The 16,756-nt window shown below is 39.2% G+C and overlaps 1 protein-coding gene across 8 annotated transcripts in view, besides 3 other annotated features; it reads left to right on the top strand.

Annotated features, from left to right (window-relative positions):
* Positions 1 to 16,756, top strand: part of ITPR2 (inositol 1,4,5-trisphosphate receptor type 2) — a 497,843-nt gene that overhangs the window by 75,951 nt on the left and 405,136 nt on the right. The gene's annotated exons all lie outside the window — the stretch shown is intronic.
* Positions 6,282 to 6,331: an enhancer, noted in NCBI's record as "active region_6127". NCBI's record gives its function as "activates an Ori minimal core promoter by ATAC-STARR-seq in GM12878 lymphoblastoid cells {active_cell/tissue: GM12878}" and the evidence as "EXISTENCE:reporter gene assay evidence [ECO:0000049][PMID:35858748]".
* Positions 7,172 to 7,451: an enhancer, noted in NCBI's record as "active region_6126". NCBI's record gives its function as "activates an Ori minimal core promoter by ATAC-STARR-seq in GM12878 lymphoblastoid cells {active_cell/tissue: GM12878}" and the evidence as "EXISTENCE:reporter gene assay evidence [ECO:0000049][PMID:35858748]".
* Positions 12,989 to 13,490: an enhancer, noted in NCBI's record as "H3K27ac hESC enhancer chr12:26896687-26897188 (GRCh37/hg19 assembly coordinates)". NCBI's record gives its function as "activates a minimal SCP1, AML or CMV promoter by ChIP-STARR-seq in primed H9 embryonic stem cells {active_cell/tissue: H9 hESC(primed)}" and the evidence as "EXISTENCE:reporter gene assay evidence [ECO:0000049][PMID:30033119]".

Below are 16,756 nucleotides of genomic sequence, written 5' to 3'. Positions count from 1 at the left end.
ACTCCATCTCAAAAAAAAAAAAAAGAAAGTAAAGGAATAGAAGAATGGCTACCCCATAGACAGAGCAGCCCTGTGGGCTGTTGCTTGCCCATTTTTATGGTTATTTCTTGATAATATGCTAAACAAGAGGTGGATCATTCATGCCTCCCCTTTTTAGACCATATAGGGTAATTCCTGACATTGCCATGGCATTTGTAAACTGTCACGGCACTGGTGGAAATGTAGCAGTGAGGATGACCAGAGTTCACTCTTGTGGCTATCTTGGTAAAGGCTTCTTTATTACAACTTGTTTTATCAACAAGATCTTTATGACCTGTATCTTCTGCTGACCTCCTATCTCATCCTGTGATTTAGAATGCCTGAACCATCTGGGTATGCAGCCCAATAGGTCTCAGCCTCATTTAACCCAGCTCCTATTCAAGATGGAGTTGCTCTGGTTTAAACACCTCTGACATTTCCCCCCTCCCTTCTATAAGAGAACCTTTAATCCTAAGGGTTGCAGAGGGATAAATATCCATCTTCTGTAACTTCTTCAGGCTGAAAGGGGTGATGGTATTTCTGCCTATTAGCATCTCTTGTGTTCAGGGTAGGGAGGAGCTCAGTCAGAAAGCATCAGTATGGTGAGGGCTATCCGTGACTCTTGAGTTCCGACAAGAGGCAATATCTGGAAGATTAATAAGTGTTTAGTTTAAGAAAACATTCAGAAAGCTTGTCCTGCATTTCTACAAAAAGACTACAACAGCAATACATTACACAACAGTAAAGCAACATAAGTAAAAATATCTCAAGAAAACCAAGTAAGAAGGCTTTCCATGAACTGGGCAACTGTTGGAACCAAGCTGATATGGGTTTGCTAGCCAATTCCAATATATGCACAGAATTAGAATACTGATCCAGATTTTTACATTACCCATCCATTTTGTTTTTTTTCTGAGCAGCAGTCAGAGATTACTGGTTGGTTCACAGGAATAAGCAGCGTTAGCCTAAGTTACAGAAACAAACTTAAAAACAACTGATGAGACTATAATCTAATAACAGATGTACCATAGTTCTTGAAATATAATTTTTCTCTCTCCCGTTTCCCATTTTTACTAAAGACAAATCATGGTAAGACTGATTTGCTTTATTATACTTGGCCTGTTTATTTGTATAAGTGCAGCAAGAATAATTATAATAATTATTTTTCACATAAGCTCTTTCAAATTGGCTTTGATGGAACTCTGTTCCATAGAAGGATTCTTAGATAAGACTTTTTTAGAGCTGAGCCCTGCTGTGGGTTTGTACTCTCTAATACCTATGAATTGGGTAAATTCCTTTCCTTTTGAGGTCCCAAGATAACTTGGGGTTCCTGGACTTGTTAGAAAGTCACATTCTTTACTTACTACAGGTCAGAAACTCTGTATAGGGACTGTCATAGACAAGGTCTAAGGCTAGTTCCTCAAGCGGCTTTTATTGGCTTTACAAGTCAAGTTTGAGTCCTTAAAGGAAAGCACACCATTCCAGTCAAAGCCTCGGTAAAATAACCGGTTTCTTCAATTGTGTCTTAGTATTGCAAAAGAAAACAGATTTGTATTGCACTTATGCAAGTAACTATATTGCCATAAATTAAGAATACTTACAACTACTTTCCAAATTCTGGAGAAATCAGGTAGAGAGAAACAAATATGCTCCAAATTTTGTTCACAGGAGTTTGTTCAATTGTTACAAGCCTTAAATAACTCAAAAGAAAAGTTTTCTTGACTCTGAAAAACAAAGGATCAGCAACATTTTAAGCAAAGTTAAAAAGATTACTTTAGACTTCTATTGGTTCAGTCAATTCAGTTAATTCGTTTTGCTTGATATTCATGAACATTTCAGCTCTCCATGAGTCCTGAAAGTTTTTCCCTTTTTTTCTGATGTCACAATCTCCAAAGTTATCAGAAACCTGCATTCAAGAACACCTGCTAGAATTTTATAGTTAATTATAAATCAACTTCTAAAGAGGACCAAAACAAGATAACAGTTGTTTGTGGATGACAAAATATCTTGGGACAACCACAGTCAAAAAACACGATTGATAAAGAAATTTGGTTAGCTTTGTGGCATACAATGATTTTATGTAACAATTATTAAAAACATACACTAAGTCATATTAGAATTATAGGAGTTTCCCATAATTTTGGAACATATACCAAAAACACATTTATGCAAATACAGCCCAAAGGAAACCAAACACCATTTTATATTTGACAATGCTTCCTGTAGGATTTTAATATCAAGTAAGCCAGATATCACTGTTGCATTAGTGCACTACTGATGTTAAACCCAATTTTTAATGAAACCTTACAGACAAATGTATTCAATCTTAATCAGTTTGATCATAAGGTAAAATTTTAATAAACCTTTTATAACCCTGTACAATTTTTGTTAAAGAGCAGATCATAAGCAGGTTTTTGCTCTAAGAAAAACCTATTGTGCTTTTATTCCAATGTTTAATTTACAGAAAAACTGAATAATACCCCTTTAACTTTAGCCAATATGTTCACAGACAGAATTTGTTTTACAAGATTAATTTTTCACAAACTTTCCACAACTTGCTTAAAACTTCAGCTTTTCCTATCTTACTTAAAACAATCCTGTAGCTCTCTAAACTTAGGCAAAAAAAATCCACATTCCCATGGCTTCTTATAATCTTTTACCAAAAACACATTTCACTTTCTTTATACACCTCGCATGTAAAACTGTTCCTTCAGTAGTCTCAATTACATGTAACAATGTTAACTCTTAGCAACTTTTACTTTTGATGAAAACCTTGGTAAGTTCGGGATTTTAATTATGTACCATGCGTGGAGCCTAGGACAGCAGACAGAAGTGCAGATAAGAGCTGACTTTTTCCAGCATAGTTAGGGGGTGTGGCTAACTCCACATGTCCCCAGCTGTATCTAGAATCTAATGCTCCAAAATCAATTGAACAGTTTTCAAAAGTCAAAGAAGCAGTTTATTACCCTAAAGCATTTAGCAAACTTAATATCTGACCAGCATAATTTAGACTAAATGTTTACATTTCTGAAGATATTTTATTTTACCAATAATCCTTTACAATTACCTTTATTTCCCAAAGATTATTTAAATCACGTGAACTAAATAAAAGGCATTATACCTTTTACTTTTCTCACAAAATATTTGATTTAACCTCTTATTATTAAACCAATTAATCAAAGCTCTTTCATATATAAACATCACACACACAATACATATAAATACACAGACAGAAGAAGATAAAGGACTTATCCCCTAAGCTTGGAATCAAACCCTGAACCTAGGCTGCCATTGTGACAAGAGAAAGCATGGCCACACGGTTACAAGGTCAAGCTCCCAAGGACATACAAGACAAGAGGGAAACCTCATCCATTTTTTTCAGGGACCTGCAGCAAAGTTTGTAACTGGCCAGTTTGCTGGGTCGTCTTGAACAGCAGGCTTATAGGTGTCCAAAGCCTGTGTTTTGTCCTAATGTACCTCTCTTGATGACAGAACAATACAGAAAGACATGCAAAGCAGACCGGATTTGTTACAGCTTAAGACTAGCCTCACAAATCCTTTTTCCCATGAATCAAAACTTTACAGAAGATAAACAGTGATTTTTACCATTCATTCAACCAGTTTGCACAGAATGAGCGAGAGAGAGGAAAGCATTGCCTGAAGCAGGGTGGGGAAGGCGAGTTACTTAGAGAGGCCAGGGAAAGATCCACACACTGCAGTGACACTGAAAAGTTCAGGTGACCGCTTGTCGGTAATGAAGGGATCTTTTCCAGCAGTCCCATCAGCTCTCAAGTTTCCCCTTTTAGGGTGAAAAAAGCTCCCCATGTCCCACGATCCTGTACATGCCTAATTCTGTCACCCATAGCGGTCAGCAAAGAGTACAAGGCAGATTATTCCAAACAGAATAGCAGTTAACATCCCATAGTGTCAAATCCGTTCTTAGGCAAAAGGGACTTTACCAAGAGGGACTTTACTGAGAGAGGCCTTTAACCCCCTAAGTCTTAGAAGGGACTCTAACCATCCTAAGTTAGGCCTTTAACCCAAGGTCAGTCAAGTGTCCTTGCCTTTTATTAAGTGGGGCCTCTAATCCACTCTGTCTTAGGAGAGACTCTAATTCCCCTAAGTTGGGCCTCTAACCCAATCCCATTCGTTACCCAGCTACCCCACCACCACTTACCCAGAGTTATTGAATCAGTGCTGCAGTCTATTTCCTTTGGGTGGGGGGTCACCTCAGTATCATCCATTCTGTGGTTCGCCAGAAAGATGTTACTGGACCCCACCACTTACCCAAAGTTAGCTTTTGGGTTGGGGGTTTCTGCACTATAGTTGCTTCCGTGGTCACCAGAAAGATGTTATAGGACACCACCACTTACCCTAAAGTTAGCTTTTGGGTCAGGGGTTTCCTCACTCTAGTCCCTTGGTGGTCTCCAGAATGATGTTACAGGAAAGGGGTCCTGATCCAGACCCCAAGAGAGGGTTCTTGGATCTTGTGCATGAAAGAATTCAGGGCGAGTCCGTAAAGTGAAAGCAAGTTTATAAAGAAAGTAAAGGCATAAAACAATGGCTACCCCATAGACAGAGCAGCCCCAAGTGCAGCAGCTTGCCCTTTTTTATGGTTATTTCTTGATCATATGCTAAACAACGAGTGGATTATTCATGCCTCCCCTTTTTAGACCATATAGGGTAATTCCTGACGTTGCCATGGCATTTGTAAACTACCATGGCACTGGTGGAAGTATAGCAGTGAGGATGACCAGAGGTCACTCTTGTGGCTATCTTGGTTTTGGTGGGTTTTAGCCAGCTTCTTTACTGCAACTTGTTTTATCAGCAAGGTCTTTACGACCTGTATCTTCTGTTGATCTCCTCTCTCATCCTGTGACTTAGAATGCCTTAACCATCTTGGAATGCAGCCCAGTAGGTCTCAGCCTCATTTTACCCAGCTCCTTTTCAAGATGGAGTTGCTCTGGTTTAAATGCCTCTGACAAAACCATTGTAAGTCAGGGACTGTGTGTATAGTCATTATCTGAACTGAGAATGCAATAGGAGAAACAAACTCAAGTAAGTATTCTGAGGAACTTAGCATAGACAATAAGAACTTAATTACTAACAAAGAGGGCTGTTAAAATTAAGGTGGGTTTTTAGATGTCTAATGTGAAAATTTAACAAATTTTTGGAAAAGGAGACTGTTTACCCATGAAAATTAATTGTTAATTTTGTATATGCATTGACCCACTCAAGACTATAGACATATCTCTATAATTCTGGGATTATGCATGTGGTAAAAATTTGTGTCTGGGTTCGAAATGATGTGGTTTTACAGTGTGGGTTTTAGGGCCTGTAAAACTGTTTTTTTTTTTTTTTAGATAGAGTCTTGCTCTGTCGCCCAGGCTGGAGTGCAGTGGCACCATCTTGGCTCATTGCAACCTCTGCCTCCCAGGTTCAAGCGATTCTCCTGCCTCAGCCTCCCAAGTAGCTGGGACTACAGGCGCCCACCACCACGCCTGGCTAATTTTTGTATTTTTAGTTGAGACGGGGTTTCACCATATTGCTAGGCTGGTCTCGAACTTCTGACCTTGTGATCCGCCCCCTCAGCCTCCCAAAGTGCTGGGATTACAGGCATCAGCCACTGCACCTGGCCTGTAAAACTTTTTATATAAGATGATTTTTTGATATTTCAAGCACAGATGATTTGAGTTGATGGGAGTTCATTGTCAGAATATATAGAGTAATAAAAAGAATATGAATTGATCTCGTTCCCCCTGACCTGGGCCTCAAGGCTACAACGCTGGTTCTAGTAGTTTGAGATTAGTCCTGTTTATGCCACAGTAACTGTAAAAGTAGTTCTGAACTCTAGGACAATGACCTTTCAACTTTTTTTTTAACATTTATTTTAGGTTCGTGGGTACATGTGTAGGTTTGTTATTAGGTAAACTCACTGTGACATGATCTTTCAACTTTTTGGATCATATGTCCCATCAGAAAAAAAGTAAGCATAATCGATACACACTTATTTATAAGTTACATATATGTATTACTATAGTACTGAGTTGCCCACATTATTGAACATAAGCAGAAGAAAGTTCTAAAATAGGGGATAAATAAAAGTAAATCTGATTTCTGGAATTTTCCTCCACATCCTAGTAGATTGTTTGGGTACTCCCCTGAAATGTGCACACCCTTTTTGAACCCCCTGCCCTGGTCTTTTGCCAGTGTGGTGACTCAGCCGTTTTCGTTGCTTGGGCGGTGTTAACTAGCTGCGTGATCTTGAGCAGATATCTTTATTTAACTGATTTGTAAAATGACGGTAATTGTACATATCTCATTGGATTGCTTTGGAGATTAAATGCCACCTGATCTCTAAAGTTTTTAGCACAGTGTATGAAACATTAGCTATTTTTTCCCTTTGGTGAGTTTCTCTTTATTTTCCTCTATTTCACGACTTCTGTTCATTCATATACCTACTTCCTTTTCTTCTGCGTCAGGACTTTGCTTAGAGCCTTCTGTCTGTGTGTTTCTTCTGGTTTCCTTTCTAAGTCTCATGTACAGAGAGGGGATCTGTTTGGCCTAATTGGTTATAGCCATATGACCCATTTTGCCTGGAGCAATACTGGTTTCCACCTGTTGTCCCAGTACAACTATGGTGGTTCTTTTACCTTTTCCAGGTGTCCTGAGTTGGAAATAAAGCACAGGGTGAACTTCTTAACAAGTCACCATCAAGTATAGACGACCTGTTTGGGGGGCAGATGTCTTCTATGAAGGATGACTCCTTGTCATTGCACAGCTTAGAGATGGCTCTCTGGCTATCTTCAGATGATGTGTTAACCAGAAGAGGAGGGTCCCATCTATAAGGACATGATGGGGTGGCATGGTGAGTGTGACATGACCTCAGAGAGATGTCTAGTACAAGAGGTCACTATTAATCCACAGAACAATAGATGACTTTAGGAGAGGGCTGGACAGTTGGAGTCTATAACCATGGTGGCTGTCTACCCACATTGCAACAATGAAAATCCAGAATTTACTGGGCATTGAACTTGGAAATCCGAACCTGCAATCTGAGGCTCAGCATCATGGTGAATATTTTCTAAGTTGAGAAAATGTTCTTTTGATTTGGAATAAAATGTGCTACTCTTATGCAAGGTTACACTCACACTCATAGCAGGAGTTAGAAATAGGTCTTCTTGTTCTGCACCAGGTGCTCTAGAAAGAGCAGTATAGTTTCTTGTTCCCCTAATGTTTACTAAAAACTTGTTGCTACTTGTCTTGTGGGTTTTTCAATTCTGGCTTCATGTTTTAACCCTACTAGACACTCAGCAAATATGAATTAGCAATTGTGAAGTTTATTCTAACAGTGTCAGCAAAAAAAAGAAAAAGAAACCCATACATGATTACTGAATAATGCACATTTTCTTCACTTTCAAGTAATTTCTATAACTGTGTTCTTGAGGCATAGTACTTAAAATTACTACTTTACTTAGGAAGTCATAGATAGGGGACACATGCCACTATGAAGAAAATGGAATATTAAGGTGTTTTGATTTTTAATCCTATTTCATGACCTTTATTGGAAATGGTAACATAAGAAACTAATGGATAAGTTAACTTTTATATTTCCTGAGGTCTGTAGGCTTGGATTTTTAAAGCGAACATAATCCTGTGATCATCACCCTGAAATTTTACAACCCTGACACAATACTCGAAAACAATGTTATTTATTTCCTCTCTTAGAATCAGGAGCTGGTGGTGAATGTATTGGACCACATCAGTATTTCATTGTTTCTTCAGGAGAAAAAAAATAGTGATTGAAACCTTATGATTACTAGAGTTAAAAAAATCAGTTATGACTTAAAAGATAACTGCAGCTCAGACTTTTCCACTAATGCTTGACATTTTACATTATAGAATAAGCAGTAACTTTTCTTCCAGAAATGTATGAGTCATATGTCCGAGTGGTTGTTGCTTTGGATCAGAGTTCATATTTAATTACCTGGCTTGGACATTTAAAAGTCAGTCCTAACTAATCATAACCATGAGTTCAATTTCTTCCTCTAGTTTCCATCTTGAACTTTCAAACTGCAGAGTAGAGATAATAACCCACAAATGGTTAATAGGGAAATCAAGCTAATACCTTTGAAGAAAGACTGCAGGTATTTGAGTATACCTGATATCACGTAGTCAAATCTGAGTAATGAATCTCACTTCGTTTAGTCATTTAACACATACATAAAAGGTATGATTTCCCCAGGTTTTGCCCATTTCCTTCACGCTCTTTAGACTTTCATTTTTAAATGTTATCTATTTCTGTGGCTTAAATTACTAAAAACTTGTTGCTACTTGTCTTGTGGGTTTTTCAATTCTGGCTTCATGTTTTAACCCTGCTAGACATCTTTGTACTGATGGGCTGCAAAATTTACATTTTAAGTTCCTTCTAACTCTCCCAGTCTCTCCAGTGACTCATCACCCATGGGTTTCCTGAAGGAAATGGTATTTTAGAATCCCACCTACTGTTTCACAGTTTAAAAAATAACTTAAGCAAGTATCAAGGATAACCATCATAATTCTCACTAAGACTAAAATGCAAGTCTGTCTCACATGAAAAATGAGACACCCAGTGGATATGTTCTGCAGACAATTTAGAAGTCATTGTAGTGAAGCTCTTGTGAGAAGGTGATTTAAAGATACATATCTGAAATTCAGATAGGAGCAATCGTCAAAACTATTAGGTTGGTGCAAACATAATTGTAGTTTTTACTATTACTTTTAACGGCAAAAATTGCAATTACATTTGCACCAACCTAATATTAGAAAGAATGATTTCTTGGTAATAGTATAGGATTAAGTGTAATAAAATTAATTAGGAAAGCCTCGGCTGGGTGCTGTGGCTCACACCTGTAACCTCAGCACTTTGGGAGGCTGAGGTGGGTGGATCATCTGAGGTCAGGAGTTTGAGACCAGCCTGGCCAACACGATGAAACCCTGTCTCTACTAAACATATAAAAGTTAGTCGAGTGTGGTGGCAGGTTCCTGTAATCCCAGTTACTTGGGAGGCTGAGGCAGGAGAATCACTTGAACCCAGGAGGCGGAGGTGGCAGTGAGCCGAGATCACACCATTGCACTCCAGCCTGGGTGACAGAGTGAGACTCCATCTCAAAAAAACAAAACAAACAAACAAAAAGCTCTTAGGAAAGCCTTCCTGGAAAAATGATTTCTTCAGGGTTTTGAAGTTAGAAGGGACTTGCATTGGTGGAAGTTGATAGACTGAATTATTCGGACACTGGAGTAGCACACAGAAGTCCCTTAGGAAGGAATAACAAGCTATTGAGTTGGGGCAGCGAATTTTGTCTCAAATAGAAATCTGTTGGAGAATAATGAAAAAAGGTTAATGAAATAATGACGTGAGACTGGTGACATGTTGTAGGATGCTCAAGAAGAGAAACATTTGCATTTGATATGGAAGAATTCTTGAACAGGGAAATAAAAGCATTGTTGGAAGAACCTGAACCATTGGTCTCAAGATTGTATTGGAAGGGGAGAGTCAAGCAAGGACATATTCTCAGTTCTTCTGCTGAGAGGTGATGAGCCATGAGCTTCAGTGATGTTTAGGAAGTGGAGAAGTGTAGCAGTAAAAACAGAACAAGAGACATATAGGAAAGACCTTATGGATTTGATTAGATAAAGTTTTATAACATTTGCATGAGTAACATGAAGAGGCGTCGAAGATGTTGATAAACCTACATTAGGGTTGACCTATATGAAGTTACCAGTATTTGACTTTTTAAACCTACAAAAGTGGTAGTTTTAAATAGTTCTTTGTAATAGACACCTGGCTTGGGTTGGAGATGACTACTCTTCAAAATGGACAATGGCATCAGTGAAGAACCAAGAATTGCAAAGATACTGCAATTCTGCCAGTTAAGTGAGGACAAAAGCCTTAAGTGATTACCGGCATTTTCAGAGCTCTTAGCTGGTAGCATAGTGAATTGTAGTATTGAGAACAAAGGGAAGGAAGGAAGGAAAGAAGGAGAAAGCAAGGAAGCAAATTTCATGAATACTTTTTCTTTGAAATTTTAAACGTGTCTGTTTTTATGTACAATGGAAAGTCTCAGATAAAAGAATAGAGGCTTTGACTAAGTGGCGTTTAACCAGTGTAGAGAAATTTTGGGAGATTGATTACTTCATCAGAAAGTTTGGCCTTGATCTGGTCAATTGCTCAATTTGGAGTTACTTGAATATTTAGCAAGAGAAAAAGTATTTTTGTGAATTTGAAAAGGAAGCATGTTTTTGCTTACTTTTCTAGTCACTTTTAGGTAGCCACTAAGAGGATCAGACCCAAGTTAGTTAAGAAAGTAAACAAAATAACACTCCCTAACATGCTTACACACACACACACACACACACACACATGCATGCACCCCTGATAAGAGAACACTTGTGCTCTTTGGAAAGAAAGGTAGGTACATGCAACACACATTGTTTTAAGATACCTAGTTTGGCTGCATTACCTTGAAAATTCTCTCCACTGCTTCATGCAGATCTGATTGGTGAGCATAAATTAGTCACAAATGGCACATGTGTGCATCAGTAATAAGGAAGATAACAGCACTACTACACTAAGTTTGTGATGCTCTCAACAAGCCAGGGGTGGTATGAATCTACAGATGAAATCTCCCACAGATTCCTTTGAGAAAGACATGAGTCATGAGATCAGATCGCTAAGAGGCAGGACACACTCAGTTAGGACCAAGCTGCAGCTAAAGAAAGTTTACATGTTTTAGAGTGGCAAATTGTCAGGTTGTTTCTGCTCATTTTCTATTCAAACTCACGTCCAGGGCTTCCTGAGTACCGCAGCAAACACTAGCTCTGTCTTCTCTAAGCTCAGTGAATGTGGGACATGGGGCAAAACAGAATGGGCTCATTCTCCAGGTTCCCTCCATTTGCATGCATATTTTATTAGGTCTTCGTCTAAGAAGCAGCTCATGAAGAGGCATGCAGGAACATTTGTGTGTGTGTATGTGTGTGTGTGTGTGTGTGTGTTGTAGGAATACACAGCTATTTGTGCTCACTTGGGATGAATGGGGTGATATGTTTCATATTTATCCTACTCTGTGCCTCCAACCCCTATTCTTCTGGGTAATTTAGAAGAAATTTAATGTGTAGTCTTTGAATTTGAGGGATTCACAGTCTAGGTGGGGAGATGAGGATCTATACAAAAAATAATTAAAGAACAACAAGAACAGTTTATAATCATTGTTGGATAGTAAGTATTATAGGAGTCTGAGAAGTGGGTTTCTTGTGAGCTGATATAATCAGGGAAGACTTCTTGGAAAAATGAGGTTTCAATTTTAAATCTCATTAAATTTCAATTAAATTGGCATTTATTGAATATCTATTATGCCAGTGTGCTCAATCATGGGACTAAAATTTGAGTTATGAGTGAGAAACCATTCTGGTGTAATCCTCTTTGTATTAGGTGGAGCCATGTAAATGCTTTTTGATAATTGTGTTCCACAAAAAACACGTTATAACTACCTTTCTGTCTCTCTGTCTCTCTGAAACCAAGTATTTTCTAATTTTTGCTTGGTTAAATTGTAATTCCCCTATAGACTTATATGCCTTTGGTAAGTGAGGAATTTGTTAGGGAATTTCTTCTCCTTTCTTGAGGCTGTGATTCTAAGGAAGGAGTTCAAGCGTGCTTCTTCAAACAATGAAAGTCAGCTGTCTTGGTAGCAATTGTCCTCACAAGCAGATAGTTCAACTTTGCAGTTTGGGCTATAGAAAAATAATCCTGTAATCGGATTGTTAGAATATTCAGAACTTATGCCTCAAATAAACTTTTATGTCTGTGGTGCAAAGGGTTGCTTTTGTCTTTTGCCTGGATTCAGTCCCACAGAGTGGGAACATCACCATGTGCAATCATTAGAAGTGCAATAGAAACTCAGCATCAGTTGAACCAGCTCATATTTAGTGAGGTCACATCTGCTGTATGTCTGTGTTTGTTCAAGGATAAAAGGAAAGAAGCACCAGGGCTTCTTTATGTTCTCATGTTTTCATCTAGCGGGCAAGGAGCACAGGAGGTCTGTTGTTCGTCATTCCTGGATAACATCAAAGCCCGTTCTGGCAAAGCCGTTGCTAATCTGTGGGCAGGATGACCCTGAGAACACTTATAATGCTGCTACCTGGGAAATAGTTCTCATTTTTGCAAAACATTTTATCTGAAAAAGGTTGCACCTACCATCGTTTGCCTAACTTTTAACAGAAAACTTCTGACAATCTGTACGTGCATAACAGTTTGCCTGCAAAATTGTTGTCCTCCATACTCACATTTTCCTTTTAAAATCTCATAGTAGCCTCTTTCTTTATAAGGCTATGTATTTGATGAGGCAAACAAGAAAAGAGAGTATATTTCCTTTTGCTTTATGGGTTTTTGTTGTTCTTTATAGGCAGATCATGAATAGAATCCAGTGAAATTACAGGCTGCTATGACTGTGTTCTCTACTTCCTGTTTGCGATCCAAAATAATCCACATTTGTGATAAAAATTCAAATTGTACCAAAGGTTATGGGATTTCATTCCATATTCAGGAATTAATATAACTAATGTTTTTTTTATTCGTATGTTCATGTCTGTGTTCATTGATTCAGGAAACATTCATTGAGCACCTACTAAGTGCTAGGCATTTATCAGATGGTGACATGCTATGTAGAGAAATAAAGCAAGGTGACCAAGAGTGCTAGCTTGGGAAGGGTTGCTGTGTTTGCAGTGCCAGGGCAGGCCTCACTGATACTTGAGCGGAGGCCTGAGTCGGGGCAGAGTTACCTGTGCAGAAATCTTGGGGAACAGGCAGAGGTGGAGAGAGCATCCAGGGCAAAGTCCCTGAAGTGGAAGTGTCCTAGATAAGTTGCAGTAATGGCAAGTAGGATGGTGTGGCTGGGGTGGAGCCAGTGAGTGGCCAGGTAGTGGTGGGGAGGTCGGGCTGGTCACTAGGAGTGGCAGAACCAGAGAGCAGCTCATATAGGGCCTTGTGGGCCACAGGGAGGCCTTTGGCTTTTGCTTTGAGTAAGGTGGAGGCATTGAAGGGTTTTGAGCAGAGGCTGTTGGGCCCTGACTTCTGTTTAACAGGCTTACAGTGCTTGCTGCATGAAGAATCCACAGTCGGGCATGGGCAGAAGCAGAGACTTGTTAGTAGACTGTTGCTGCAGCCAGGAGAGAAATTATGGTGATTTAGATTAGGATGATGAGTTGGTAAGAAATCGGTTGCTAGATCTATTTTAAAGGTAGAACCTATAGAGGTGTCATTGTTTTGGACATGAGGTTTTGTTTTGTTTTGTTTTTTTGAGATGGAGTTTTGCTCTTGTTGCCCAGGCTGGAGTGCAATGGCACAATCTCGGCTCACCTCAACCTCCGCCTCCCGGGTTCAAGTGATTCTCCTGCCTCAGCCTCCCGAGTAGCTGGGACTACAGGCATGTGCCACCATGCCCAGCTAATTTTGTATTTTTAGTAGAGACGGGGTTTCTCCATGTTGGTAGGCTGGTTTTGAACTCCTGACCTCAGGTGATCCCCCCGCCTCGGCCTCCCAAAGTGCTGGGATTACAGGCATGAGCCACTGCACCTGGCCTGGACATGAGGTTTTTAATGTAGGCAACTGGTAGGGTAAAATTGCTTCACTGAACATATTATATGTTCTAAACTTGGTTCTAGGGATTTACATCTAATAATGCATTGATCCTTATCACAATGCTATGGAAAAAATATTTTTTTCTAAAATATCTGCTGAAATACATTCAACAAAACACATAAATCTTAAGTGCGAGCTCAAATGTATTAAATGTAAGCTTGATAAATTTTTATATGTGTGTATGTATATATAAACATATATAAATAAATGTAAATATAAATATTTATGTAAGCAGCACCTAGATCATGATATAAAACATTTACAGCCCTGCAGAGGTTCCTCTGCCAAAGGTAACCACTGTTTTTACCCTCACACCATAGATTGTTTTTGTCTGTTTTCAAACTTCATATAAATGAAACCATACTATACCTATTATTTCTTTAACTGGTTTTTATTGACATGATTTATACATCATAAAATTCATCTTTTAAAGTGTACAATTCAGTAGTTTTAGTGTATTCACAAGTTTGTGCAACCATTGTCACTTTCTATTCTAGAACCTTTTCATCACCTCCAAAAGATACAGCCATTAGCAGTCACTCCCAATTTCCCCCTCCTCCCAGCCCTGGCGAAGCTCCTTTCCATCTGTATACATTTGCCTATTCTGAACATTTCATGTAAATGGAACCATACCTTATGTGGCCTTTTGTGACTGGCTTCTTTCATTTAGATAATGTTTTCAAAGTTTGTCCATGTTTTAGCATGAATCAGTACATCATTCCTTTTTTTTTTTTTCCCAAGACAGAGTCTTGTTCTGTCACCCAGGCTGGAGTGCGGTGGTATGATCTCGGCTCACTGCAACCTCTGCTTCCGGGTTCAAGGGATTCTCCTGACTCAGCCTCCTGAGTAGCTGGGATTACAGGCACCCGCCACCACTCCCGGCTAATTTTTGTATTTTTAGTAAGACAGGGTTTCACCATGTTGGCCAGGCTGGTCTCAAACTCCTGACCTCAGGCGATCCATCTGCCTCAGCCTCCCAAAGTGCTGGGATTACAGGTATGAGCCACTGCACCTGGCCACATCATTCCTTTTTAAGGCTGGATAATATTCCAAGATGTGGATATATCATATTTTGTTTGTCCATCTATCAGTTAATGGACATTTAGGTTTTTCTCTTTTTTGACTATTATGAATAATGCTGCTCCTAACATTAGGTTTTGTGTGGACATGGACAGGTTTTCCGTCATACTCTGTTGTGGCTGTTTCTTTGTTCAACATGACATCTATGTAATTCATTAATGTTATTGCATGCAGCAGTTCATTCTTTCTTGTTACTTTTTACAATTCCATTCTGTGACCATACCACTATTTATTTATCGCTTATCCAATCAATGGGCTGTGATGAATCCTGTGACATGCTTTGTGTGTCTTTTGGTGGGCAAAAGCACTCATTTCTCTTTGGTAAATACCTGGCCATGGAATTGCTGGCTCATTCATCTTTTTCTTTATCTGTCCTCTCAGAGCATTCTGTCATGCTTGTTCTTGTTGGTGTGGGCACTCCCTTGCAGAGGAAATGTGCTTCCTGTAGACCTGGTCCAGGGATCTCCCTTCCCTGCCTGGGCCCACATTTAGGACTGACTTATCTTCTTTCTACTTCTCTAAAGCATCTTTTAGGAACCCTCTCCTTCCCAATGTATTTCCTCTTCCATTGTTTAACAAAGCAGAGTTTAGCTCATGCCTGCTTGCAACTGACTGTGTTCGTTTAGTTACTGGCTTGAGAGCCTAAGATGATTTATAATGGTACACTCCCTTTCAGGAGTGATTACTATGGGTTTCTGAGGGGACTAGAGCCCTCTCAGAATTTCATAACAGCTATGTGTCCTCCCATAGAGAAATGAATCTGTGAATGCACACACACACACGCACACACAGACACACATGCAGGTTTTCTTACACGTTCAGGGGATTTGTCGACCTCCATGAATCCCATCCGCTGTAGGCTCGTGGTTCCCACATTAAGAATCCTTCTTTTCTACTTTGTAATGCCTTGACTTTTTTTTTTCAAACAAAACTTCCCCTGTGTCAACTGACATGGTAAAATGGAAGGACTATATTTCCAGAGATGTGTATAAAACATGTTTATAAAACATGTGTATAAAACTGGCTAAAACAGAGGTCCTGACTTGTACCCAGCTGGCAAAGGAGGTAAGAATTATCAGCACTTAGAAAAGTAATTTTAATTGTTATGGAATCCTCATTCTTTTCAATTCTGCTAGCAGTTGAGAACGTTTCTAATTATATCCTTTGCTACTCCTGTTAAACTTCTTAACTAGAGATTAAAATGAAGGCACTGCCATTGAGCTGGGCCCTCCCAGGCCTGGAAGGCGCCACCTCTGCCGCAGGGACAGCTGGCATCAGAGTGGGATGTGCTCACCCCAAGCTCTCCCCCTCAATGGGAGCCTCCTCTCCTCAGCCTGAGTTTCCTGTCTCACATGTTTAATGGATGAATAATTGGGTGCCACTCAATTGCAGAGTTCCTCGGAAAAGAGCAGGTGTGGACTAAATGAAGTAGAAAATTAAATAGATCTTTTCTAAATGATTTTTAAAATAATTTGATGACAGTGGTAGCAGAAGTGGAATCATGGTGGCCCATTCTCATTCTCTGGTCCATTTCTCCAAAGACAGAAAGAGAAACAGCAACATTAGAGTAAGCTTTTCTTATTTACATCTTTTGAAACTTTTATTTGATACTTTTCCCTCTAAGAACAAATTTGGGCTTCATCCAGTAGGCAGTGCAGCATCATTACAAGGCTTTAACATATAGTCCATAATAAATTAGACTTTTTTCCCCTGGGAAGACAAAAAAGTTTTGTCTAGAAATTTGTTGCTTTAAAATTTTTACCGAAGTAATAAAACATACAAAGTGAAAATCTTTTTTCCTCCTCCACAACATCCATTTCCGTATCTCAGGGGTAACCACAGTAAATAGTTTATCTTCCTTGAGTTTTTATTGAAGTCTATAAAAGCATTGTATAGATTTGTTGAATTTTATAACATTGGGATCACCTTATACGGCGGAATGAAGCTTACTCTTTCTACTGTGTGACGTATCGCAGATGTCCT

This window comes from Homo sapiens, chromosome 12 (assembly GCF_000001405.40).
Source record: "Homo sapiens chromosome 12, GRCh38.p14 Primary Assembly".
In the NCBI taxonomy this organism is placed as follows: Eukaryota; Metazoa; Chordata; class Mammalia; order Primates; family Hominidae; genus Homo; species Homo sapiens.
Note: the sequence above shows the minus strand (reverse complement) of the source record. Positions and strands in the feature narration are given on the sequence as shown.